Below are 25,139 nucleotides of genomic sequence, written 5' to 3'. Positions count from 1 at the left end.
GTACACTATAAACAGAGTTCAGGAGACTAAGAGAGAAAGTCTTAAAGAATCCCATCATACATCCTCAGAATTTTAAAAAATTTCTCTCCCACCTCAGAATTACTCACAAAGTCTCATGTATTTTCTCCAAGTCATTTTCTATTTAGTCACTAAAAATCTGATTTGCAAAACGATGTGTACATGTTATCACTTCCACATCATTACTAGCTGGTTTATTTTATCAATCTCCATTAATATTATGTGCATTTAGATACATCTTTATACTTACATTTGCTTGTAAATTTTATTTATTCATTATTCTTCAATACATTTGCATGGGTTAGTTTATTATTATCTATATTAAAGAGAAGAAAATGAGATATTAGACAGTAAGTTAATTTTCCATTATGATGAATGAAGTCAGGACAATGAAGTACTTAATTGGGATCTAGAAATTTTGGGGTTTGTCAGTATCATTAAATTGCATAGCCTTGAAAATGAGCCAAACTTTCCAAATATCAGGCTCCTGGCAAATGTTCAGCAGCATCTACTGCACAGAACACAGTGTAGGAAGCACATGAGAAAAACGTTTGTAGCTTGGTTTCTTCCTCCCTAAGAAAAATGTCTTTGGGGAGAAATAAGACTCATGGACCCATGGAAGTAACTACGTGGAATAGAGCTCCATGCAATTAGTTTCAACTAAATAATATGGAAAAAAAATGTAAAAAGAACTAAAAAATGTCCCAGTTGCAGTGCTTAGAAAAGGTTTTGTTCAGGGGAGAGGATTTAAGCCAATATTGAAGAGTGGATGAGATTTTTTATTAAACAGATGATCCAAGTATCCAATATAATTTAAATAAGAAACAGTTTACGTAAGTTTACCTTGGCCATGTTATTTCATCCACTTAATGACCTAATTAAATCACTCACCATCACTCATCATTTTGTGGCAAGGAGTTGTTAGAAAATTCCTTCTCTTCCCCTTCAATCATCACTCTTCTCTTTCCCTGCTCTCACTCTCTTTCCCATTCTTCTCTCTGTCCCCTCACCCCACCGACAAAATAAATGGATCAGCTGTAAAGTTATTTTTGAAAAATTCAAGGATGTTATGCTTGAACATTCTATTACAGGCTTTTGTGTGGATACAGACAGAGTTAAAGGTCCAACTACATGTTCCACAGGTCTTCCACATTCCATTATCCATTTCAACAGACTTTTTTCACCCTGAATTTCACATGATGTGTCAGCTTGAATTCTTCCAAGTTTATGGTGGAGAGCATGTGGAACCATGACATGGGGAAGGACCTTTCCTTCACCGGCCTGCAAATGTGTTCAGAATTCCCTGCTTCATGCAGGGACCTGCATTAACATATTCCATCTTCCCAAAGTAGGCCCTTTGTGGAAGCATGAAGACATCAATTACCCAACTTACCTCGGCTTCCACCTGTCCAGGGGGACTAATTGAGAGAAAGCCATTGACAGCATCATCAGGGGTGCTGGTGTGTCAGGCAGGACATCACAAATCCCTCAACTCTTTCAAACAGGTTTTGCTCTCTCCTGGCTATTGTCCTGCATCCTGCTCTCCTAAAGCGAACACTCATTACTTAAACAGATTCATTCTACATCCAGTTGCTGACTGTCTCAGGGATCATTTTCCATGACGTACAGCTGTGCTGCATCAGGCCCCATGGCATTTCTGCCCCAACCCAGTCACATCAATTCACCACTAGATTCCCAGTCCTCACCTGTTGATAGAGCTGTCTAGGGGGACACAGCAACCTCCTGTAGAGAAGTTACCCCAGAAAGTTCTTGGTGTTTTTCTCCGGCCTTTCTTTATGTATAACAATATGCCTCTACCTAATGCTGAAGACACTTTTTCAAGAATTCCATCTGCTATATGTGACGGTTCTCAAACTAACAGCCTTTTGGTTGTCTCAACACTACCACTGCTTTCTTAATGATTCCTGGCACTGGGGGTGATTTGGGAGATGGATATTAGGGCCAAGGGTGAGAAATGCTGAAATTCTGCCCTGTCAATGTTATGACAACATTTCCCAGGAAGCACTCTCAAAAGGAACTCCAGCCCGTAGGAAGACAGGGTGCTCCTTTATTGCCATCTGGGCTTGGAACCCACACCCAAGGCTGGGCCTCTCTGCAACCTCAGGCTGGAACTCTATGCTTAGGCTCAGGCTCCAAACAGGATCTTTCCTTTATCTTCCAAATCCCAATCTTGAAAGGGATGGACCACAGCTACCAGCAGCATTCCCAGACCTCAAACCTACACTCAAGAAGTGAGAGGAGGGCCAGACGCAGGCAACTTCCAACAAAGAGAGGTGGCTCATGGGGCCTTGCCTGTTAAAGCATGGTGACCTTGTCTACTTGTAAAATAGCCAATCATGGTCTTGGGATGTGACCAATCAGTCAGTGACCCTGCATTCAAGGAAGGGAACTGGGAGGCAGGAGGAGACTCAGAACTTGCCTCTCCCTTGTGCAACTTTGAATCACTTTACAATACTCGGTGTGTGTGTGATCAGTTTCTCCCCAGGAATCACAAGCTTCCTGAGAGCAAGAGCACACATATGTCCTTTGGAGGTTTTGTTTTTTGGTTTTTTTTTTTTTTTTTTTTTTTTTGAGACTGAATTTCACTCTTGTTGCCCAGGCTAGAGTGCAGTGGCGTGGCTCACTGCAACCTCAACCTCCCGGGTTCAAACAATTCTCCTGCCTCAGACTTCCAAGTAGCTGGGATTACAGGTGCCTTCTAGCACGCCCAGCTGATTTTTTTTTTTTTTAAGTAGAGATGGGGTTTCACCATGTTGGCCAGGCTGGTCTCAAACTCCTAACCTCAGGTGATCCACCCACCTGGGTCTTCCAAAGTGCTAGGATTACAGGCGTGAGCCATCGCACCTGGCCTCCTTGGTGTGTTTGAATTTTTGGATGCCATCTTGGCCTTCCTGATCTCAGCTCCCCTTCTTTGAGTCAACGTCTCACTTGGTAACATCCTGCTGCAGCAACAGGATCCCATGGCAATTTTGTCCAGACGGTCTTGGGCTGAAGGAGACTTCCTAAAACAATTCAGAACACAGCCGCCCTCCTCATCAGGCTCCTGCTGGTACGTGGAGCCCAAGCAAAGTTGTAAATCCTCTGGTTCCCATGAAACCCAGCACTGGTCATCTCCTGTTGCCTTCAACAAGCAAAAGAATACAAGATTTAATGGGCCAGTAATTTGAGATATCCTTGAATTTTAAAATCACAATAAAAACAAATTAAGACAAGAAAACAACCATCATTTCACCCAAAATGATCACAACCTGAATATATTTAGCAGTTGGCAGAAAGATAGCTCATTTGTGGGGCAGAGATCCGTGTTCAAGTTCTAGTTCTAGTTCTAGTTCTAGTTCATCTACTAATTAGCTACTTGATCTCAGCCTACTTGGTTCACTTGGACCTCCATCTCTTCATCTGTAAATGAGGAGGTGCAAAGTCTAAGGCCACTTTCATCCTTGTAAATTTACTAAGTTTAGAAACATTTAAGACTTTTAGCTAAAAGTGTGATAAAACAATTGATTTGTGCATTTGTGCATTTATAAATGTAAATTGGTCTTTAAGGCGCACAGTCTTGGCTATCAGGAGTAAAACAGTCCCTCCATCCCTTTACTCAGATAATGTTAAAAATATTCAAAGTGTACATGGGGCAATTTGGTGTGAATAATTTTGATTTAGTTTTCTTTTTTAAAATAAGAAAGTCAAGTGGTGGGAAACACTGGTAATGTGAAACTAAGATCAAGGCCAATAACAACATTATGATTCTGACTGTAACCTTAAGTCACCCACAAGCCACGTCAGTGCTCACTGGAGTACAGTACCTAAGAAGCACACATTTCACACAATGATGGAAATTCACAAAAGTGCACACATATGAACTTCTGCATTTCTGCCCTTGTTAAGGTTATTTAACATAGTTAATCTATTCTATAATTTGGAGGAAGTTGCATTTGACAAATGTACGTTTGGAGAGGTTAGTTTGGAAAAGAGAGGGAAACACCTTTCTATCTAAATATTACACCAATCCAGAATAAGTTATTATATTTTCTCCTAAAGAATGATAGGTTATCAGGTTTAATCCAAAATAAAAGTATCCAGCTTCTATCGAAAATAGTTACCTGATTCAAAAAATGTATATTTCATCTGCTTTAAACACTGTCCAGACAAATCATCGGTGGAAAGCGGGGTATGGTTAGGGGGTCACCGACATTACCGTGAAGCCGCTTTATTCTCAGCTGCCTTCTGCTGCCAGAACCTTTGACAGCTGACATACTTCCATCATTGCTTCAGGGAGAAATCATGAAGTGCCATCCAGAGAGACTCGGGGAAGTGCAAAGTGACAGCAGGGAGAGCAAACATTGTCACACAGGCCCAGAGAGGCAACAGCTCTGCAGGAGTGGAGGAGTTCTAGCAACTTCTCTGCGTTTCAATGGCACACACGCAGCGACTTAGAGGTATGGACTTTATTAGGAATTAAATTGTTCCCACCGCTGCTCTGCTCCTTCAGGCCACAAACACGTTGGAGGATTATTTTGAAATTTTACTTCCGCAGCAAGCTCTGTCTGGGGAAGGCAAATGTGCAGAAGAGAGAGACTTCATTCAAAATCTGCACAATCAGTAAGAAAAACAGACAGCAGAATCTGAGACTAGCTCAGGGAAATGTGCAGTTAAAGAATATGAAAATAGAGGCTGGGCGAGATGGCTCATGCCTGTAATCCCAGAACTTCGGGAGGCCAAAGCAAGGGGATCGTTTGGGGCTAGGAGATTGAGGCCAGCCTGGGCAACATAGTGAGACCCCATCTTTACCAAAAAGACAAAAATAAGCCGGGTGTAGTGGCAAGCACCTATAGTCCCAGCTACTCAGGAGGCTGAGGCAGGAGGATCACTTGAGCCTAGAAAGTTTGAGGCTGCAGTGGGCTGTGATTAGGTCACTGCACTCCAGCCTGGGTGACAGAGCAAAACTCTATCTCTAAAGAAAAAAACATAAAGAGTATGGAAATAGGGTAGGAAATATTTAATCTCTGATGAGATTTCAGTACAAATGACTGGAAAGTAACAAGAAGATTATATCTTTGGGTGAAGGGAGCCAGTAGAGGTGGCTAGGAGTCCCAGCACAGTCACTGTGTGACCCAAATGCCTCTTGAGAACTCCAATTCTAAAAAAACAAAGGCTGTAACAGACATATAGATCTCAAACTTTTAGAATTATGTAAAGCATAATATGGTGGGGAAAAACAAAAGAGATTTGTTAGACCTACCTGTGTTCAAATCTTTTTCCAAACTTGTGCAAACCCAAACAAGTCCTTAAAGCTCCCTGAACCTCAGTTTCCTCATCTAAAAAATGATGGTGATCATCCTGCCTTTTAGGTCTAATGGGCATTGAAGATGATGCAACACGCAGGGCTTTGAGTTAGCTCTCAGGAAAGAGCAATGATTATTATTTTATTGCAGAAACCACCCGGGGACGGTAAACGCTTAGCGAGGAAGGTGGTGTTTGCCTTGGCTGATGCTCCATGGTGATGTGAACAAAACTCTGGGATTTGAGGGAGGCCACCTGATGCCTGGCAGACATCGAAACCACTCCCAAGGTCCATGTGTCTGGCAAACTCTTTCCCCGTCTCAGCATTCAAAATGGTATTGTTCCCCAGTCCAGCACAACCCACAGCTATACATCAGTTTCCTGCAAGGTGAGTCATGGTAACGTGAGAGCATGGGGCACACAGCCCACGACAGAAATTATGTCAACTGCATTTCCTTCTCCAAAACAGATTAGGAGTCTCGGTGGCACTGATCCATTCAAACTCACTCTTCATGCTGGATGTCACGCACACACTGATGGCCCCTGAGATGCAGAGCCAAGCCCAGGGAGCCACTGGCCTTGTCCTTATTTGCACAACTGACCTGCCTCGGCCCTTGGAGGAGGGATGTGGCCAGGGGTGTTGTTCTCTGAGGGATCTGTTGTTTTTTTCTATCCAGTCAGGGGCTGCTGTTCTAGGCTTTCCACCGCTGAATCTCAGTTTAGTCTCTCAAGGATTTTTACTCTGTGGATGTCCCTGTGCAACTTGCCTTCATGGGAATCAGAGTTGCTGCATAGCGACAGATAGACAACCCTCCCTGAAAAGCTGCCAGCCCAGGCTGGGGCTTTGATAGCAGAAGAGGAGGCTGGAAACCAAGAGCCTGGGAGCCAGGCTCCTCTCCCTCCACCAGGACGGGCCTCTGTCCAATCTACGCGAATCTGAGAACAGCAGCCATTCAGCCAACCAGGAGTTTATTTCCAAATGAGTCTTCCCACGACCTCGATAGCATCCCCAGGCGCAGCCCTGCAGCGGCACCAACCAGAAGCCGAGGGCCCTGCACCCTGGGCTGAGAGTCCCCAGCCACGGACTTAGCTTCCTACTGCCTTCCTTCCTAGACCAGGCTCCGAGGAGGAGAGCTGTGCTGTTGTCCACGCTTGGGCCTCAGCTGGCCAACAGGGAACTGTCTGGTTTTAGAGGAATGCACAGTCACAATAGGCCACCGCCTGGCCAGCTTCTTCCCAGATGAGACTTTCAACAGCTACCTCTTGAAGCTGTGGCAGCTTCCCTCCTTATGGCTTTCATGTCACCTTCCCCTGTACCCCTGCCCTTCACAGACAGGTCTTACCCAGGCAAACCTTTCCAGGCCACCCCCAAACAAGCCCAATCCCTGGTCTGTTTCCCTGGAGGCTTTCTCACATCCCTCCCGTATCGCCTGACTCCCGCTATAGACAACATGTTCCTGGAGAGCAAGGTCTGAACCATGATTTTTCTGTGAGCCTTTACACGTGGCATAGTCCCCAAATTAAAATTTAAAATTTCTTTATTAACTGGTTTTTTTTTCGGAGACAGGATCTCACTCTGTCACCCAGGCTGATGTATGGTAGTGCCATCATAGCTTACTGCAGCCTCCAGCTCCAGGGTTCAAGTGATCCTCCTACCTCAGCCTCTCAGGTAGCTGGAACTATAGGTGTAAGCCATCACAACTGGCTGTAGGTATTTGAATTTACATTCTTAAAATAGCATAGAATATGGAGTGAACAGTTTTGTAGGCTGCTTTTGCATGATTTTTATCATGCAAAACTATATGCTAAGCATTTTACATGTCATTAGCATTAAAACTATTTGGCAACTGACATCTTTGAACGACCATCTTTGTACAATTGTACAATTATTCCTATAAGAATATTTTTTCTCACAATTTCTAGCTTTGATGTTATGCTAAGAAAGGCCCATTGTACCCAAAGGCTATAACATATTTCTCTTAAAATTTTCCTAGTACTCCTATAGTTTTGTGTTTTACATTGAAATCAGCCTCCAAAAGTGCTGGGATTACAGGCATGAGCCACCGTGCCTGGCCAAAATTTAAAATGGATTAAGCATCTAATATGTAGTTGACATTCTACACGTTTCAAAGATACCATTCTCGTGATAATCGTTTAAATTTTATCATCACCATTTTACAACTTCACTTTTAGGGAAGACCTGGAGCCATTAAGTAATTTGAGATTTTGTGGATAATAATCTAACTTTAAAAATATGATTATCCCATTGTTCCAAACCTAATTATTGAGCAATTAATTTATCCTTTTGTCACTAATTCTAAATAAGGCTATTATCATATGAAAATTTCAAAATTAACTATGTTGCCCAGGCTGGTCTTGAGCTCCTGTACTCAAGCAGTGCTCCCTCCTCAGCCTCCAAAACTGCTGGCATTACAGGCATGAGCCATTGTGCCTGGCCAAAATTTAAAATTTATTAAGCATCTAGTATGTAGTTGACATTCTACATATTTCAAAGATGCCATTCTTATGACGATCATTTAAATATCATCATCACCATTTTACAACTTCGCTTTTAGGGAAAACCTAGAAGGAGTAAGAAACTTGTGCAAGGCTGGGCGCTGTGGCTCACTCCTATAATCCCAGCATGTTGGGAAGCTAAGGTGGGTGGATCAGCTGAAGTCAGGAGTTCAAGACCAGCCTGGCCAACATGGTGAAACCCCGTCTCTACTAAAAATACAAAAATTAGCCAGGCTTGGTGGCAGGCACCTGCAATCCCAGCTACTGGAGAGACTGAGGCAGGAGAAAAGCTTGAACCTGGGGAGGTGGGGGTTGCAGTGAGCCGAGATCATGCCATTGTACTCCAGCCTGGGCGACAAGAGTGAAACTTTCTCTCAAAAATATATTAAAAAAAAGAAACTTGTGCAAAATCACATTAGTGATCAACTGATTCCAGAGAAGGACATTGCCATTAACAGTCTGAATTACACATAGTAGGTGCTCAGTAAGTGGCTAAGTTGAGAAGTAGATGCAAAAATGCATTTAAATATTATCTCCCTGCCACGTACTCTGCATCTCTTTAATATAAATTTTCTCAATTTTAGGGAAATATGCAAAGGGACTGAAATGGCTGAGATATGGTTACATAATGACTGTTTAACAATGTCAGGTATAAGATGGTTTTTCTTAATGCTGATGAACAGCTTTCTCTCTCACAGAGGAATAAACAAGTGGGAACAGTTGTTCATTGAAGCAGGAAAAAATTACTCTCAACGAGCTCGACCACGGAAGTGAGATGTGAGATTTTAGCATCTCCATCTCAGGAGGTTTTTGAAGCAGAGAATGCAGAAACCAGCTGTCCTGGATGGATGAGTCATCCAGCAGGTCCTGGTGTCCGTGGGGCTTAAGCAATGTGCTCATAAGAGGCCACCTTCGAGAGGGGTCATTCATCCTTCATCGTAGGTGTCCCCAGGCCTGGAGTAGCGGGCCTCTTTTTTGAAAACACTGGGGCTTATTGCAAAAATGGAATTTCACACTCAACCACAGAAAATGCCTGGTTGCCATTAGACAGGTTGGCTCTGGACAAAATTGAGATGTAGTATTTCACATTTGTCTTGAATTGTTCATCTTCCCTTTTCTCCAAGCCTGTTCCTATACCCTCCTCTTTTGACTCCCCCCTTTCTCTTCTCATTCTTTCCTTTGATCAAATTCTTCCCCACAAGCGGTTTTTGCTCCTTCTGCATGTGTACTGTGCACACAATAAGTGCCTTTGAAGTATCCGCCCTCCAGAGCTCCTCTGGCCTTGTGGTCACGTGAAACACAGATCCTGGTCCTGATGCAGGTAGGTGGGCATAACACCCTCCTCAAAACCTACCAGCCTCATCTGTGACGTGGGATTCCTACCACGAACCCATCTCCATGGATGCTTTTAGTCCTTTTAAAGTTGGCTTCCATGAGATGACAGCCGTGCTGGGGAACTGACCTCAGTACCACGTCTCGCACGTGCAGCATCAAGCACCCTTGTTACACCCGAGGAAAATGAAAATACACACCTTTCTCTCTCTGGTAACAATTTTATTTTCAAGGCAATTGTTATTCATTAATCTCTACTTTTATGAGTAGTGGCTTACATGAATCAGTAATCAAATTTATAAGAGAATATACAAAGACTTCATCAGAAGCTTTTATCCTGCGCTGAGATCATAGTTAAATACTGTCACAAAAGTGAATAGTTTGAGGCTGATCTGGTAACGACTGTGTTCACATTTTAAAGTGAGTTTATCTAATGATGAATGGTTACGTTTTTTAAAGCAGGGAAGATAAGAGGTGTGTCTGCTGCTACAAGCAGGCGCCAGGCTCTTAAGAGAGGGCCCCCTTTTTCCCCGCCCATGTCACTGTGGCACGTTCTAAAACTAATGCAGAGTGGATGCATTTCGTCAGATTGTGTGGGACCTTCCTGAAATAGCAATTGAAGTTAGTTATGAAAAGTCTCACTCTAACCTATGCATGCGTGGATCCAGTTATGAGAAACCACCACTGAGATTGTTCCTCTGGTTTCTTGTGTCTCTCTTTCTCCCGCCATGGGGCTCTACAGACACAAATTACCACAGGACTCAGCAATGAGACAGATGAGTAGAAACACAAAGCCAGAAGCTGAGAGTTGTTAGTGATAAATCACTGTTCTACCCTCCCTGTTATGACTTTGAATTTGTAACATCTTTATACAGGCAAGTCCCAGCTAGGAAAAGTTTAATTATTTATAGCTCTGCTAGATACAATTTTTATAAGACGTGAGCGTATGTATAAGTACTCTGTAGTCAATAAAGCAAATAAGGTAATATCAGGATGAATGTGATGTAAAAGGGCTTTATTATAGTTTAGAGAGAGAGGCATTCTTCATATTTAACCAAAGTCCACTGTCTGCTATGAACTGAGTCTCTGAAAGCTCATCTTCCCAGCACAGCAACAACCCAACATGAAACTGAGTTAGAACAAGCATCTAGTGGCACAAGAGAAATGTGGACTTAGAGCAAAGCAAAGTACAGAATTTTAAGTACAGCAAAACTGGTAATCCCTTCCTGGGTCACAGCTATTGCCTGAATTGACGATACCAATTCTTTCAACCAAGTTGATCTGCACATCCCAATGTCTAAATGATGGCTTCTTGCTTTTTGATTATTTAGTAATGTGTTGCAAAACATTGCTATTGGAATCTTTGATATTATTTTCAGCGATTATTGAGCCCTCCTGATTAAGCATTCTATATATTCTACTATTTCTGAAAATAAATTTTTTTTAAATGGTCAGCATCATTTGATTTGGAAGTTCTACTTTGAAAATGAGAGGGAGAAAGTGATGACTTAGACTTATACAGCATTTCTAAATCTTGGGAGTGAAATTAGTCAGCAACTTAACTTTAAAATGTTAATTAAGTTGCTGTTATTACATGTTCTCTTTGTTTACTATTCACTTTTTAAAAATTGCTCCATTTTGTATCTCTACAATCAGTGACTAGCTGAACACCTAGATAAAGGCAAAAATCCTGTCCATTCATTCATTTTGGCCTTCAAACAAACAAGCATTGAACATTTACTATGTGCAGGACATTCTGCTAGACACTGGTGGTTTCATGAGTCAGGACAGGTCCCTATCCTCGGGGAGAGGGTGAGTAAGACACATAAATAAATGTCTCAAATAAATCATTGTATACGTGGTCACAGAGGCATGTGGATGAGGTACTATAAGGGACCTGTGTTTGTCAGTTTTGCATTGCTATAAAGGAACACCCGAGACTGGGAAATTTATAAAGAAAAGATTATTTGGCTCACGGTTCTGCAGGCTATACAAGCATAACCAGACGTCGGCATCGGCTTGGCTTCTGGTAAGGCCTCAGAAAGCTTTCAGTTATGGTGGAAGGGAAGGTAGCCAGCATGTCACATGTTGAGAACAGGAGCAAGAGAGAGAAAGCAAGAGAGAGATGAGGTGCCAGTCTCCTTTAAACAACCAACTCCTAAGTGAACAGAGCAAGAACTCGCTCATTACCATGGGAAATGCACCAAGCCATTCAGGAAGGATTCAATTCCATGACCCAACACTTCCCACCAGGCCCCACTTCCAACACTGGGGATCACATTTCAACATGAGATTTGGAGGGGATAGACATTCAAACTATATCAGGGACCAAAGGGAAAATAGCTAGCTCCATCCAGGGTATTCATGGAAACTTGCCCCCAGAGGTAACCCACTGGATTGGCCCTGAGGTATGGGTAGGAGATCACTTGGCAGACAAGAGTGGGGTAAGCCCAACAGAAGGAGCCACATAAGGGCAGGCACAGAAGGCTGGAGCCAGGGTATACGCTTGGGGACTGAAAGGTGTGCTCCAAAGTCTCCCGTGCAGTGCATTACAGAGAAGCAGCAAGAAGTGAGGTGGGCAAGGCCACCTATGCAGGGCACGGCATGCGATGACAGAGATTTGGCCTTAACCCTGAACAGGGAGGGGAGATTTCCCTGGATTAATCATTGCATGATGATCTTGCTTTCTATTTAACTGAGAAAGCGAAGGTGATCAGAAGAGAACTTTCACATGCTCTCCTCACTTGTCTGCCCACCTATCTGCATCTGGACCACTATATCATGTCTTTCCTTCTATTTCAAAAAAACAATTGGCCAAGACACCAATTATCCAGAGGCAAGCAGCAGCGGGACATCTCAGCCAGATGGGACCAGGGGATGAGACATGATGAGCAGCACCCCAGCAGAGGCAGCAAAGGGGCTGCAAACGTGTGTATCTTAACACCTCCAGCTTCTGCCAAGAGGAGCTCCCTCTCATCCACCCAGACCCTACCTGGGAGAGTTAAAAGACAACATTTTTTCCATATTCTCATAACTTTTATTACAGTATATTGTTATAATTGTTCTATTTTATTACTAGTTATTGTTTTTAATTTCTTCCTGTGCTTAATTTATAAATAAAACTTTTTCATAGCTCTGTATATAAAGGAAAAGAACATAGGACGGCCAGCCCTTCATGCCCATGGGTTCCACATATGCAAATTCAACCAACCTTGGATCAAAAATATAAAAAAAAATAAAAATAACCATACAACAATAAAAATAATACAAATAAAAGCTAATATAATATAATAACTATGTACATAGTATTTACATCATATTAGGTATTATAAGTGTATTTAGTCTGTTTTCACACTGCTGATAAAGACATACCTGAGACTGGGTAATTCATAAAGAAGAAGAGGTTTAATGGACTCACAGTTCCACGTGGCTGGGAGGCTTCACAATCATGGCAGACGGCAAAAGGCACATCTTACATGGCGGCAAACAAGACAGGATGAGAGCCAAGCGAAGAGGGTTTCCTCTTATAAAACAATCAGATCTCATGGGACTTATTCACTACCATGAGAACAGTATAGGGGAAATCACCCTCATGATTCAACTATCTCCTACCATGTCCCTCCCACAACATGTGGGAATTATGGGAGCAACAGTTCAAGATGAGATTTGGGTAGGAACACAACCAAACCATATCAATAAGTAATCTAGAGAAGATTGAAAGTATACAGGAGGTGTAGATTATATGCAAATACTAAACTATTTTATATAAGGAACTTTTGAACACCTGTAGGTTTTGGTATCTGCTGGAGATGCTGGAAGCAATCCCCTGCAGATACTAAGGGCAACTGTATATATATAAGGTTCTATATTATCCAGGGTTTCAGGCATCCACTGGGTTCTTGAAACATACCCCCTGCAGATAAGAGGGGACTACTATATTTAGATTGCTGCATACTTTAACAAGCATAGTCTACCTCCTCTTTCTCTTGGAGGGTCTATTTGCAATGAGGAAATTGAATAGAAAGGATTGCATAGGAGTCCCCAAAACTATTTGTAGGAGCCTTTCACCTTTAAGACTCAAGCATATACATGTCAGCACCTAGATTTTGAACAGACTGAATATTTATCCAAAGGGATGAAGTTACCTAAGACAGGTTGCTGGATTGTAGACAAGGGAATAGTGCTATGATCTGAATGCTTGTGTTCCCTTCCAAATCCATATATGGAAACCTAATCATTCATGTTTTTGTATAGGGAGTGGGCCCACTGGGAGGTGACTCGGTCATGAGGACAAAACCTTCATGAATGGAGTAAGTGCCATTATCAAAGAGAACTAGTTAGCCTCTTCCACCACGTGAGGACACAAAAGGTGCTGTCTATGAGGAAGGTGGCCTCACCAAACACTGAATCTACCAGTACCTTGATCTTGGACTTCCCAGACTCCAGAACTATGAGGAACAAATATCTGTTGTTTATTAGCTACTCAATTTATGGTATTTGTCATAGCTGCCCAAACAGACTAAATCAAGCCATACTCATGTGCACTCTATAAAGGTTGACGGTAGTGTGCAAGGTGCATTAGAAGGGGTGAAAACAGAAAGGAAGACGGCATCCCATCATGATGACTGGTATGGTTTGATTGTGTCCCCACCCAAATCTCATCTTGAATTCCACATGTTGTGGGAGAAACCCAGTTGGAGGTAACTGAATGATGGGAGCAGGTCTTTTTTGTGCTGTTCTCATGATAGTGAATAAGTCTCATGAGATCTGATGGCTTTATAAGGCAGAGTTTCCCTGCACAAGCTCTCTCTCTCTTTGCCTGCTTCCATTCATGTAAGATGTGACTTGCTCTTCCTTGCCTTCCACAATGATTGTGAGGTTTTCCCAGGCACGTGGAACTGTAAATCCAATTAAATCTCTTTCTTTTGTAAATTGGCCAGTCTCAGGTTTGGATTTATCAGCAGCATGAAAACAGACTAATACAGTAAATTGGTATCAGTAGAGTGGGGCACTGCTGGAAAGATACCCGAAAATGTGGAAGTGACTTTGGAACTGGGTAACAGGCAAAGGTTGGAACAATTTGGAGGGCTCAGAAGAAGATGGGAAAATGTGGGAAAGTTTGGAACTCCCTAGAGACTTGTTGAATGGCTTTGACCAAAATGCTGATAATGATATGGATAATAAAATTCAGTTTCAGGTGGTCTCAGATGGAGATGAGGAACTCATTGGGAACTGGTATAAGGGTGACCCCTGTTATGTTTTAGCAAAGAGACTGGCAACATTTTGCCCCTGCCTAGAGATTTGTGGAACTTTGAACTTGAGAGAGATGATGTAGGGTATTTGGTGAAAGAAATATCTATGCAGCAAAGCATTCAAGAGGTGACTTGGGTGCTGTTAAAGGCATTCAGTTTTAAAAGGGAAACAGAGCATAAAAGTGCAGCAAATTTGTAGCCTGACAATGCAATGGAAAAGAAAATCTCATTTTCTGAGACGTTCAAGAAAACTGCAAAAATTTTTATAAGCAATGAGAAGCCAAATGTTAATCCCCAAGACAAAGGGAGAAAATGTCTCCAGGGCATCTCAGAGGTCCCCATGGCAGCCACTCCCATCACAGGCCCTGAGGCCTAGGAGGAAAAAGTGGTTTCATAGGTTGAGCCCAGGGTCCCCATGCTGTGTGCAGCCTAGGGACTTGGTACTCTGTGTCCCAGCTGCTCCAGCTCTAGCTGAAAAGGGCCAGCATAGAGCTCGGGCCACGGCTTCAGAAGGCGCAAGCCTTAAGTCTTGGCAGCTTGCACTTGGTGTTGAGCGTTCAGGTGCAGGGAGTCAAGAATTGAGATTTGGGAACCTCCACCTAGATTTCAGATAGGTGGGCAGACAAAATGAGGAGAGCAGGTGGAAGTTCTGTTCTGATCACCTTTGCTTTCTCTGTTAGATGGAAGGAAGGAAGATCATCAACTGAGTGAAGAAGGTGCAAGAGGGCAGAAAGGACAGTGAGTCATGGGCAAGGGCCAGGAGCACTGAGTGGACCATAGAGATGGAGCCTGGCTGCCACGTGCACTCAAGTCCCCCTGGAAGCGCAGGGTGATGAAAGAGACTTAGAGCAGTAAGCCTGGGCATGTGGTTTTTTCTGGACACAGTTAAGGGGTGGAGGCAGGTCAAAGCATCATTGCGGACAGGGCAGTGAAGGAAGTGAGTGACAGGGGAAGGAGGCTGCAGCTGGAGCCCAGGATGTTTGCAATGGAAATATAGACTTTGTAGCTATTCCAGTGTGACTGTGGAATGGGGGACTGAAGTGGTGTCTAGAATAAGATCTTTGGAGAATAGGTCAGGGAATAGAGAGACCAGCTTATGTACAGTATGTGGGTATTTAAGTCACCAAGAGTTAAGGCAATGGTCATATTGCAAAAACCAACAGCGAGCAGCGGAAGGGCCCTGGGGTTGTAGATGACTATAACAGTGACTAGTCAGTCTAACGTGCCATTCAAATGCAGGGATTCTGGAAGAGGAGGGGAGCAAAGTGACAGCCTCTGTGGAAGTGGCCATGCAGAGACCATGGTGGGTCCCCCGCAACCCAGAGGCTCAACACAGGAAAGAATACAGGTGATGAGATGCTGTTTTTGGAGAAGGCAGCAGGGAAATGAAGCATTAACCTAGGTAGCAAGAAACTTGGTATTTGAGACATTTCTTCTCTTTTTAATTGATACCTAATAGTTGTGTGCATATTAGGAGTACACGTGCTATTTTGATACCTGTATATAATGTGTGATGATTAAATCAGAGTAACTGGGATTTCCATCACCTCAAACATTTATCTGTTCTTTGTGTTGGGAACATTATTCTTCTTCTCTTCCCTCCCTTATTCTTCTCTTATTCACTATGCATATTTGTAAAAATATAAAAAAGAGTGATGATGTTGAGGCTAAAAGATAAAATGTGTTCAACGTTGGCTTTACGGGGCAAGGACATCATCCTAGCTCATAGAAAACATGAGTCTGTTAATACTGAACTGTGCCTACTGTGTTCGGCTGGAGAGGCAGGAAATCCAGTGTGACAGCCCTGAGCGTTCCATGACCAATCACTTTGGTCTTTGTCCTGAGGAAATATAATAGGCAGCTTGGAACAGTGCACCATTGTTCACATTACATGAGTGGGAAGATTAAGCTCTTAATTAACAGAGAATGGGTAATTGATCATTGTTAAATGCCTGAAAGTAGTCACGATTACATATGGGGCCATGAAATTAATCATTGTCTTTTTCTCTGGAAATGATCATGATTGCTTATGAATAACTTTATAATGAACACTGAGCTCCACCAAATCACTAATCACCTGGGAATGAGATTTGTGATTTGGTAGAGTTCAGGGTTTGCTCATTGTGGAAGTCTTCCCACTCTTCATAATGTTAGCCCCTTTGAGAGGAAGATTTCCAGATTTAAATACACCCAGAAGAACAAAGGAGCAATAGACGGAAAAAATAACAAAAAGAAAACCAACGTTTTTAAACAAAAGTGATGTGAATTCAACACCCAAGGAAACCTGGTAGCAAAGTGACTTTAAGGATAATAATTTAAAATCACAATATTAAACCTTGTTCCCAACTCTACTCCCACTGGCACCATCTTTGTGGGCGGGGGGGCGGTCGGGGAAGAAAGGATGGGAAGGAAGGGAAGTAATTACAGGTATAAAGACAGAATAACTGCCAACAAGATTTAAAATTCACCTCCATTTCCTGGCTGTAATGGTCTCAGGTTGTAGATTAACTTTATCCATGTTCTTCATGTTACTGTTTTCCCAAAAAACCTTCTTGCTTGGCTATGTTCAGGCAAAGAAAGAAACAATGGGGTTCTTTCAAGTCATGGCATCTGTGGTATGTCTTCAGCAGAAAAGTTCCTATCCTTCTGTCAAACCTGCTGTTAGCCTGGTGCTAAGAGCATCTATATAAATAAACATGAATGGATGCAAGCATGTAGCTGTATTTTGCAAACACAAACAGTACTTCCTAGTAATGTCATAGCATGAACTGCAAAAATGAAAGGTTCACCAGGAGAATCTTCACGAAGAAGTTGTATAAATTGTCAGCACTGGACGTGATAGTTAACACACAGAGCCTTGATCAGCCGTTGTGCAAATGTTTATTCAGACAGATTTGGAAGGGGAATTATGATGTATTCCTCCCACTGCATTTGCCTGTTTCATCAGGCAGCAGTTAGCTCTGATTGTATGAGAAACTCGAGAGTTGTTTCACATGACTCTGACCTGCCGAACTAGAACTTCGGCTGACTGTGCACAGCACGTTTACCATGCACAATAGGGGTCCATGCAGGTGGGACTCACTCAGCACACCAGACCTCAGGCCATCAAGATTTGTGGAGCAGAAGCAGGAAAGTGATTATTCACTTAACTGCAATGCAATGACAAAAGAGTGTGTGATTCATCAAAACTCCACTCACCGTAACATTTATTTGAATGTCTCCTAAAGCAATTAAAAATTATTTTTATTGAGAACATTATGCGAACTATTGTGCAATGAGTATTTGCACTATCATATTGTGCAAAATGAAACACCCCTGCAAATAAAAATCAGTCTGCCTTGACAGCCTGAGTTCCACCTCACCTGATTGGCATCACAGTAAGTTAAAACAAAGGCTGACTTTCTTTGTCTCCCCTTTCTGCAAACACAGAAGAATTCTTCATTCGTACAAATACTGACCCAGTTAAGAGAGTGTAATCTTTTCTCACAGGGTTTGTTCAAGCATGCTTTTTTTTTTTTTTTTTTTTTTTTTTTGAGACAGTGTCTTGCTCTGTCACTCAGGTTGGAGTGCAGTGGCATGATCATGGCTCACTGCAGCCTCAACCTCCTAGGCTCAAGTGATCCTCCCACCTCAGCTTCCTGAGTAGCTAGGACTACAGGTATGTGCCACCACACCTGGATAATTTTTTTTTTTTTTTGAGATGGAGTCTCTCTCTGTTGCCCAGGCTGGAGTGCAATGGCATGATCTCGGCTCACTGCAAGCTCCACCTCCTGGACTTACACCATTCTCCTGCCTCAGCCTCCCGAGTAGCTGGGACTACAGGCACCCGCTACCATGCCCAGCTCTTTTTTTTTTTTTTTTTTTTTTTTGTATTTTTAGTAGAAACAGGGTTTCACCGTGTTAGCCAGGGTGGTCTCAATCTCCTGACCTTGTGATCTGCCAGTCTCGGCCTCCCAAAGTGCTGGGATTACAGGTGTGAGCCACCGCACCCGGCCTGGATAATTTTTCTAAGTTTTTTTATAGACAGGGGTCTCGCTATGTTGCCCGGGCTGGTCTCAAACTCCTGGCCTCAAGTGATCCTCTCTCCTCAGCCTTCCAAAGTGCGGGGATTACAGGCATAAGTCACAGTGCCTGACCGAAGCAAACATTTTTAAAGAGGAAACATTTGGTTTTGGTGTTTCTTCTGCCTCTCTTTTTTTGCTCTCCTTCCTTTTGTCACTCCCTCTTCATCTCTCAGAGCTCTCCTAATGCTTCCTCCCAATGAACAGGGACTTCCACAAGTCTGCCCCACCTGGCAGGACCCATGCTTACCAGTTGTCTGGTTCTTTCTCCCAGCTCCAGAGTCCATGGGTCTCATTTTAGAAACAAATTCACGTCTAGCTAATAATAGATAATTTTTCATAGCATTACCTCTTTCATGTAATGTATTTGCACCAAAATTTGACTTCAAGCCAAAGAATTAAAAATCCAAATCACTGTCCCCAACTCAATCTTTCTTCTCCCAGGACAGATGAAGAATCTCCTATCATTAACCCAGGAGGACACTTACAAGTTGTGAGCTCCAAAGAAAAATCTGAAGCAGCCAAGCATATTTCATGAGCCCCTTGCAGTGGATTCATGGCCCCTGCCTTCACTGATGCCAACTGAACTATAATAGAATAATGATTCTCACCACCATCTTCATCAGACTTGTTAATTTTGTAGGAAGCAGCCACCCCAAGCCTCCCCAAAACAGATTCTCATATTCTCTAACCATAGAAAGGAGGCTTAGAGGATTAGAAGTTCAGAACAATTCCAGAGAGATTGGTTTTTTAATGCTTATGAGGAGAACTCGAATGGAAAACTATTAAGTAGTGTTATAGAGGAATCTGATCAAGGTGGTTCTGCATAGAATTAAGATGTTGTAAGATGGAGCCCAGGTCGAAGTCAGAATGAGACGCCCACCAGAGGGCGTTCCCTGGAGGACTTCCAATACTAGAAACAGGAGGTTGAGAAGTTTGTCCAAAACATGTGCCGGGATAGCTGGGGAAATACTGTTCTCTTTTCTCTAGGAATGTGAGTTGCAAGCAAAATGCAAAGCATCCCCACAAAAAAGAAACTATACTTCTAAAGTTTATGACAAAGGCAATGCCCTGAAAACAAGCTACCATTAATGTGTTAAACTGAATATTCAATGGATACTAAAATGGAATAATGGGAGGTGTCTTAGTCCATTCCAGCTGCTATAACTAAATACCTTAGACTGGATAATACATAACAGAAATGTATTGTTCACAGTTCTGGAGGTTGGGAAGTCCAAGATCAAGGCACCAGCAGATTCCGTGTTTGATGAGGGTTCTCTGCTTCATAGATGGCACCTACTTGCTATGTGCTCACATGACAGAAGGGGCAAACAGGTTTCCTAAAGCTTCTCTTATAAAGGCATTGATCCCATTCAGGAGAGTGGAACCCTTGTGACCTAATCCCCTCCCAAAGGCTGCACCTCTTAAATACCATTGCATGGGAGACTAGGTTTCAATGTATTAATTTTGGGAGGACATAAACTTTCAGCTCATAGCAGGGAGCACGATTCCTCTTTCTTCCTGATTTTCACTGCAGAAGGTGGACCTCCACTGGCTGACATTCCTCATTTCTCTGTAAGTCTTTGATCACTTTGTTCCTAGGAAAGGTGATACACTTAACTGATGGTTAAATCTGAGGTAGAGTTTCAGGAGGATTGGTACCAGCTCTTCTTTGTATGTTTGGTAGAATTTGGCTGTAAACTCATCTGCTCTTGGGCTTTTTGTTGTTGCTGGGAGACTTTTTATTGATTCAAGCTCACTATTTGTTACTGGTCTCTTCAGGATTTCTATTTCTTCCTGGTTTAATGTTGGGAAGTTGTATGTTTCCAGGAATTTATCCATTTCCTCTATGTTTTCTAGTTTGTGGGCATATTGTTGTTTCTAGTAGTCTCTGATGATCTGTTGTATTTCTGTGGTATCATTTGTAATGTCTCCTTTTGAATTTCTGATTATGTTTATTTGGACCTTTTCTTTTCATAGTCAAGCTAGGAATCCATCAATTTTCTTCATCTGTTTCATTTTGTTCCTCACTTGTATTGTTCTTTTTTCTCAATTTCATTGAGTTCTCCTCCGATCTTTGAAGTAAATGACTCCATATGCATGGCTCTTTGTCTTAGGGAAAAACCTGTGCTCAGAGAGCCAGTGTTCTCTGTGACCAGTGCTGTGAGTTGCACTAAGTCTCACGGTTGTGGGATGAATTGTGTCCCAGCCCTCCACCTAAAAGACATATTGAAGTCCAAACCCCAGTGAGAAGTGAAGCCAGCTGGACTTCCTGGGTCAAGTGGGGACTTGGAGAACTTTTCTGTCTTACAAGAGGATTGTAAAATGCATCAGTACTCTGTAGTTAGGATTGTAAAATGCACCAATCAGCATTCTGTGGCTAGCTAGACGTTTGTAAAATGGACCAATCAGTGCTCTGTAAAATGGACCGATCAGCAGCACTGTGTAAAATGGACCAATCAGCAGGACGTGCATGGGGACAAATAAGGGAATAAAAGCTTGTCACCGCAGCCAGCAGTGGTAACCAGCTTGGGTCCCCTTCCATGCTGTGGAATCTTTGTTCTTTTGCTCTCCACAATAAATCTCTTTGTTGCTCACTCTTTGGGTCCACATCACCTTTAAGAGCTGTAACACTCACTGCGAAGGTCCGTGGCTTCATTCCTGAAGTGAGACCACGAACCCACCAGAAGGAACAAACTCCAGACACACCAGGACCTCAAAATGTGACCTTATTTGTAAATGGAGTCTTTGTAGATGAAATTGTTAAGATGAAGTCATAAGTGCGGGCTCTAAATCCAACATGAATGGTGTTGTTATAAGAAGAAAATTTGGCCAGCCATGGTGGCTCACACCTGTAATCCCAGCACTTTGAGATGCTGAGGTGGACGGATCACTGGAGGTCAGGAGTTCGAGACCAGCATGGCCAACGTGGTGAAACCCCATCGCTACTAAAAATAGAAAAATTAACCAGGCATGGTGATGCATGCCTGTAATCCCAGCTACTCAGGAGGCTGAGGCAGGAGAATCACTTGAACCTAGGAGGTAGAAGTTGCAGTGAGCCGAGATCATACCACTACACTCCAGCCTGGGCAACAGAGCAAGACTCCATCTCAAAAAAGAAGAAGGAGAAGGAGAAGAAGAAAAAAGAAATTGGACACAGACCAAGATAAACAGAGAGAAGGCCATGAAAGAGCTGAAGTGGAGATCTAAGTGATGCAGCCACAAGCCAAGGATTGACAGCTCCACCAAAACCTAGGAAGAGATAAGGAAGGAAGGACTCCCTCTTATGGGTTTTGGAGGGAGGAAGACCCTACCAACACCTTGATCTTATACTTCTAGCCTCCAGAACTATGAGATAACAAATTCCTATTGCTTCAAGCCATCTAATTTGTGGTACTTGATTATGGACCTGTAGCAAACCAGCACACCCACCCTCCCGCATGGCCTCCCTGATCCCTGAGACAAAACAATATTGAAATTGGGCCAATGAAGAACCTTATATTGGCCTCTAAGTGTTCAAGTAAAAGGAAGAGTTGCACTTGTCTCACTTTAAATCAAAAGCTAGAAATGATTAAGCTTGGTGGGGAAGGCCAGTGCTGCGCTGCCTGGGAGTGGAGGGGGACCTGCCTCTAGGCTCGGTATTCACAAGCACACTTGGCTGTCAGCCCTAAAGCCACATTCTCCAACTTTGCTCTTTTTAACTTGATATTTTAACCCTATCTGTCTCTCTTAGTTTAAATTTTCAAATTCTTTATATCCCCAGCAAAGTTGAGAATGACATTTATTGAGAGCCCTTCAAAAACACCAACCTCACACAGCTAAATAAGGTATACCACACAACCCTCCACACTGGGGGGAGTCTCTTAGGAGACAAAAATTATCTTTCCAAGTACACATTTCTTGTCCTATAACTTCCATAGGTATTCCATACATTTTTCCAACAACATAGCTAAATGGAAAGTTGTTGAAAGAAATAAAGTTAATGAAATCGAGAAGTTGTTGAAATAAAGAATGTTGACCACAGCTGTCATACTATGATATAAATCCTAATGTTTAGGTTAAACATAGTACTATAATTGGCCTTAGGACAGAAAGAACTGTTTTAAAACGAGAGGCCAATGTTCAGTGCACTGTGGCAACCACAGACAGGAAGACAGCCCTGGCCAGGCAGCTGCGAACTCCGGCAACTTACTGTAACATCCGCATTTGGAGATGAGGATGTGGGGTCACAAAAGTAGCAAAGTGCAGAGCTCATTTTCCATTTCAAAATCCAGTTATTTTTCTAGGATTCCAAATTGTTATCGTGAAAATGCTTAACTCACTGCCAAGGAAAGCATTTCCATTTTACACGGTACATGTCTCATTTGCAAAGGTTTGCTTCCCTGATCTTGCTGCAGCCTCAGGAGATAAGAAGCGCACAGCTCGGGCTCCTGATTGGGCCAAAGCTTCAGGACGGAATCAGGGACATTTACCAGGAACAAACAGCCCAGCTTATACACTGGCCACAGTGAAGGTAACCAGTGGGGGAATGAGAGTACGTTGCATTCTGCTGATTTTTAAGTTGACCTCCACTCTTTCTTCAGAGGCATCTTCCTTCACAAACTGGGTTATACCATTGTTCATTGCTCTGCTTACAGGGGCCTCTTGCATCTCCTTGTCTCTGATCCTGGAAACAAGTTCTCCAGGCTTTTACATCTGGCCACAGACTGTGTGAAGTGTGAGCAGCTGGAGGACAATTCTATTATCTCCAGAAGCTGCTCCTCCACCCACAGAATGACTCTGAAGCCTCTAGGGAGGCATAGCAAATGCATTTCCCTACTCCTCTATTTCCAACATAAATCACAATGGGTGGCACTACATGCACACTATACTTCACTTTCGGAGCTGCATAGAGTTCCCAAGTCAGCTAAGGGCATATCTTCTGTGTTGTGCATATTTTATTTATTTTATTTTATTTTATTTTATTTTATTTTATTTTATTTTATTTTATTTGAGACAGAGTCTCACTCTGTCATCCAGGCTGGAGTACAGTGGCATGATCTCAGCTCACTGCAGCCTCCACCTCTCAGGTTCAAGTGATTCTCCTGCCTCAGCCTCCCAAGTAGCTGGGATTACAGGCGTACGCCACCACACCCAGCTAATTTTTGTATTTTTAGTAGAGACGAGGTTTCACCATGTTGGCCAGGTTGGTCTTGGACTCCTGACCTCAGGTGATCCACCCTCCTCAGCCTCCCAAAGTGCTGGGATTACAGGCATGAGCCACCACGCCGGGCCCATACTTTAGCTTTTAGAAGTAGATACACTTCCAAGAAAACAATTGTTTGCTCAGCTACAGGCATGCCTCGTTATATTGTGCCTTGCTTATTGCTCTTTGCAGATGGTGCACTCTTTACAAATTGAAGGTTTGGGCAACCCTGCATCAAGCAAGCATCTTGACACCATTTTTCCAACAGCATGTGGCTCACTTAGTGCCTGCGGGTCACATTTTGATAATTCTCACAATATTTCAGACTTTTTCATTATTATAATATCTATTATGGTGACCTATGGTTAGTGATATTGCGCATTACTATTGTAATTGTTTTGCCTATGTAAAGCAACAAACTTAATGTGTAAAGGTTGTATGCGTGTCTTTGGTTTTACCGACCAGCCATTCCCCCATTTCTCCCTCTCCTCAGGCCTCCCTGTTATGTGAGATGCAAGAATATTGAAATTAGGCCAATTAATAACTCTACAACGGCCTCTGAGTGTTCAAGTGAAAGGAAGAGTCACACATCTCTCACTTGAAATCAAAAGCTAGAAATGATTAAGCTTAGTGAGGAAGGCATGTTGAAAGCTGAGACAGGCTGAAAGCTAGGCCTCTTGCACCAGCCAAGCTGTGAATGTAAAGGAAAAGTTCTTGAAGGAAATTAAAAGTGCTTCTCCAGTGCACACAGGAATGATAAGAAAGTGAAACAGGCTTGCTGCTGATAGGGAGAAAGTGTGAGTGGTCTGGATAGATCAAACCAGCCATGACATTCCCTTAAGCCAAAGCCTAATCCAGAGCAAGACCCTAACTCTCATCAATTCTATGAAGGCTGAGAGAGGTGAGAAAGTTACAGAAGAAAAATGTGGAGCCAAATTTGCTCATAAGATTGAGAGAAAGAAGTTGTCTCCACAGCATAAAAGTGCAAGGTTCCGAAGCACCAAGTGCTGATGGAGAAGCTGCAGCAAATTATCCAGAAGATCCAGCTAAGATCATTGAAGTAGGTGGCTACACTAAACAACAGATTTTCAGTGTAAACAAAACAGCTTTCTATTGCAAGAACATACCATCTAGATCTTTCTTAGCTAGAAGGGAGAAGTCAATGACAGACTTCATAGCTTCAAAGGACAGGCTGACTCAAAGTTAAGTGAAGGGTTAATGCAGCTGGTGACATTAAGTTAAAGCCAATACTCATTTACCATTCCAGAAATCCTAGGGCCCTTAAGAATGATTCTAAATCTACTCTGCCTGTGCTCTAGAAATGGAACAACAAAGCCCAGATGACAGCACATCTGTTTACAGTATGGTTTACTGAATATTTTAAGCCTACTGTTGAAACTTGCTCAGAAAAACATATATTCTGTTCAAAATATTACTGCATGTTGACAATGCACCTGGTCACCCAAGAGTTCA

General features: G+C 42.7%; 1 long non-coding RNA gene across 1 annotated transcript, besides 2 other annotated features; it reads right to left on the bottom strand.

Moving 5' to 3' along the window:
* Positions 1-268: 268 nt before the first annotated feature.
* On the bottom strand, positions 269-22,887 carry PCAT5 (prostate cancer associated transcript 5). Its single transcript, NR_110138.1, has 3 exons — positions 22,674-22,887; positions 4,140-4,583; positions 269-3,160 (listed from the first exon to the last, which is right to left on the bottom strand). It is a non-coding gene; the product is annotated as a prostate cancer associated transcript 5 (long non-coding RNA).
* Positions 4,834-6,033: an enhancer, noted in NCBI's record as "BRD4-independent group 4 enhancer chr10:36084084-36085283 (GRCh37/hg19 assembly coordinates)". NCBI's record gives its function as "activates an origin of replication core promoter dependent on BRD2, P300/CBP, MED14 and CDK7 cofactors, and independent of BRD4, by STARR-seq in HCT116 cells {active_cell/tissue: HCT116}" and the evidence as "EXISTENCE:reporter gene assay evidence [ECO:0000049][PMID:35650434]".
* Positions 15,826-17,845: an enhancer, noted in NCBI's record as "VISTA enhancer hs1589". NCBI's record gives its function as "enhancer in: cranial nerve[4/8]" and the evidence as "EXISTENCE:transgenic organism evidence [ECO:0001131][PMID:17130149]".
* Positions 22,888-25,139: the final 2,252 nt, after the last annotated feature.

This window comes from Homo sapiens, chromosome 10 (assembly GCF_000001405.40).
Source record: "Homo sapiens chromosome 10, GRCh38.p14 Primary Assembly".
Classification (NCBI taxonomy): Eukaryota; Metazoa; Chordata; class Mammalia; order Primates; family Hominidae; genus Homo; species Homo sapiens.
Note: the sequence above shows the minus strand (reverse complement) of the source record. Positions and strands in the feature narration are given on the sequence as shown.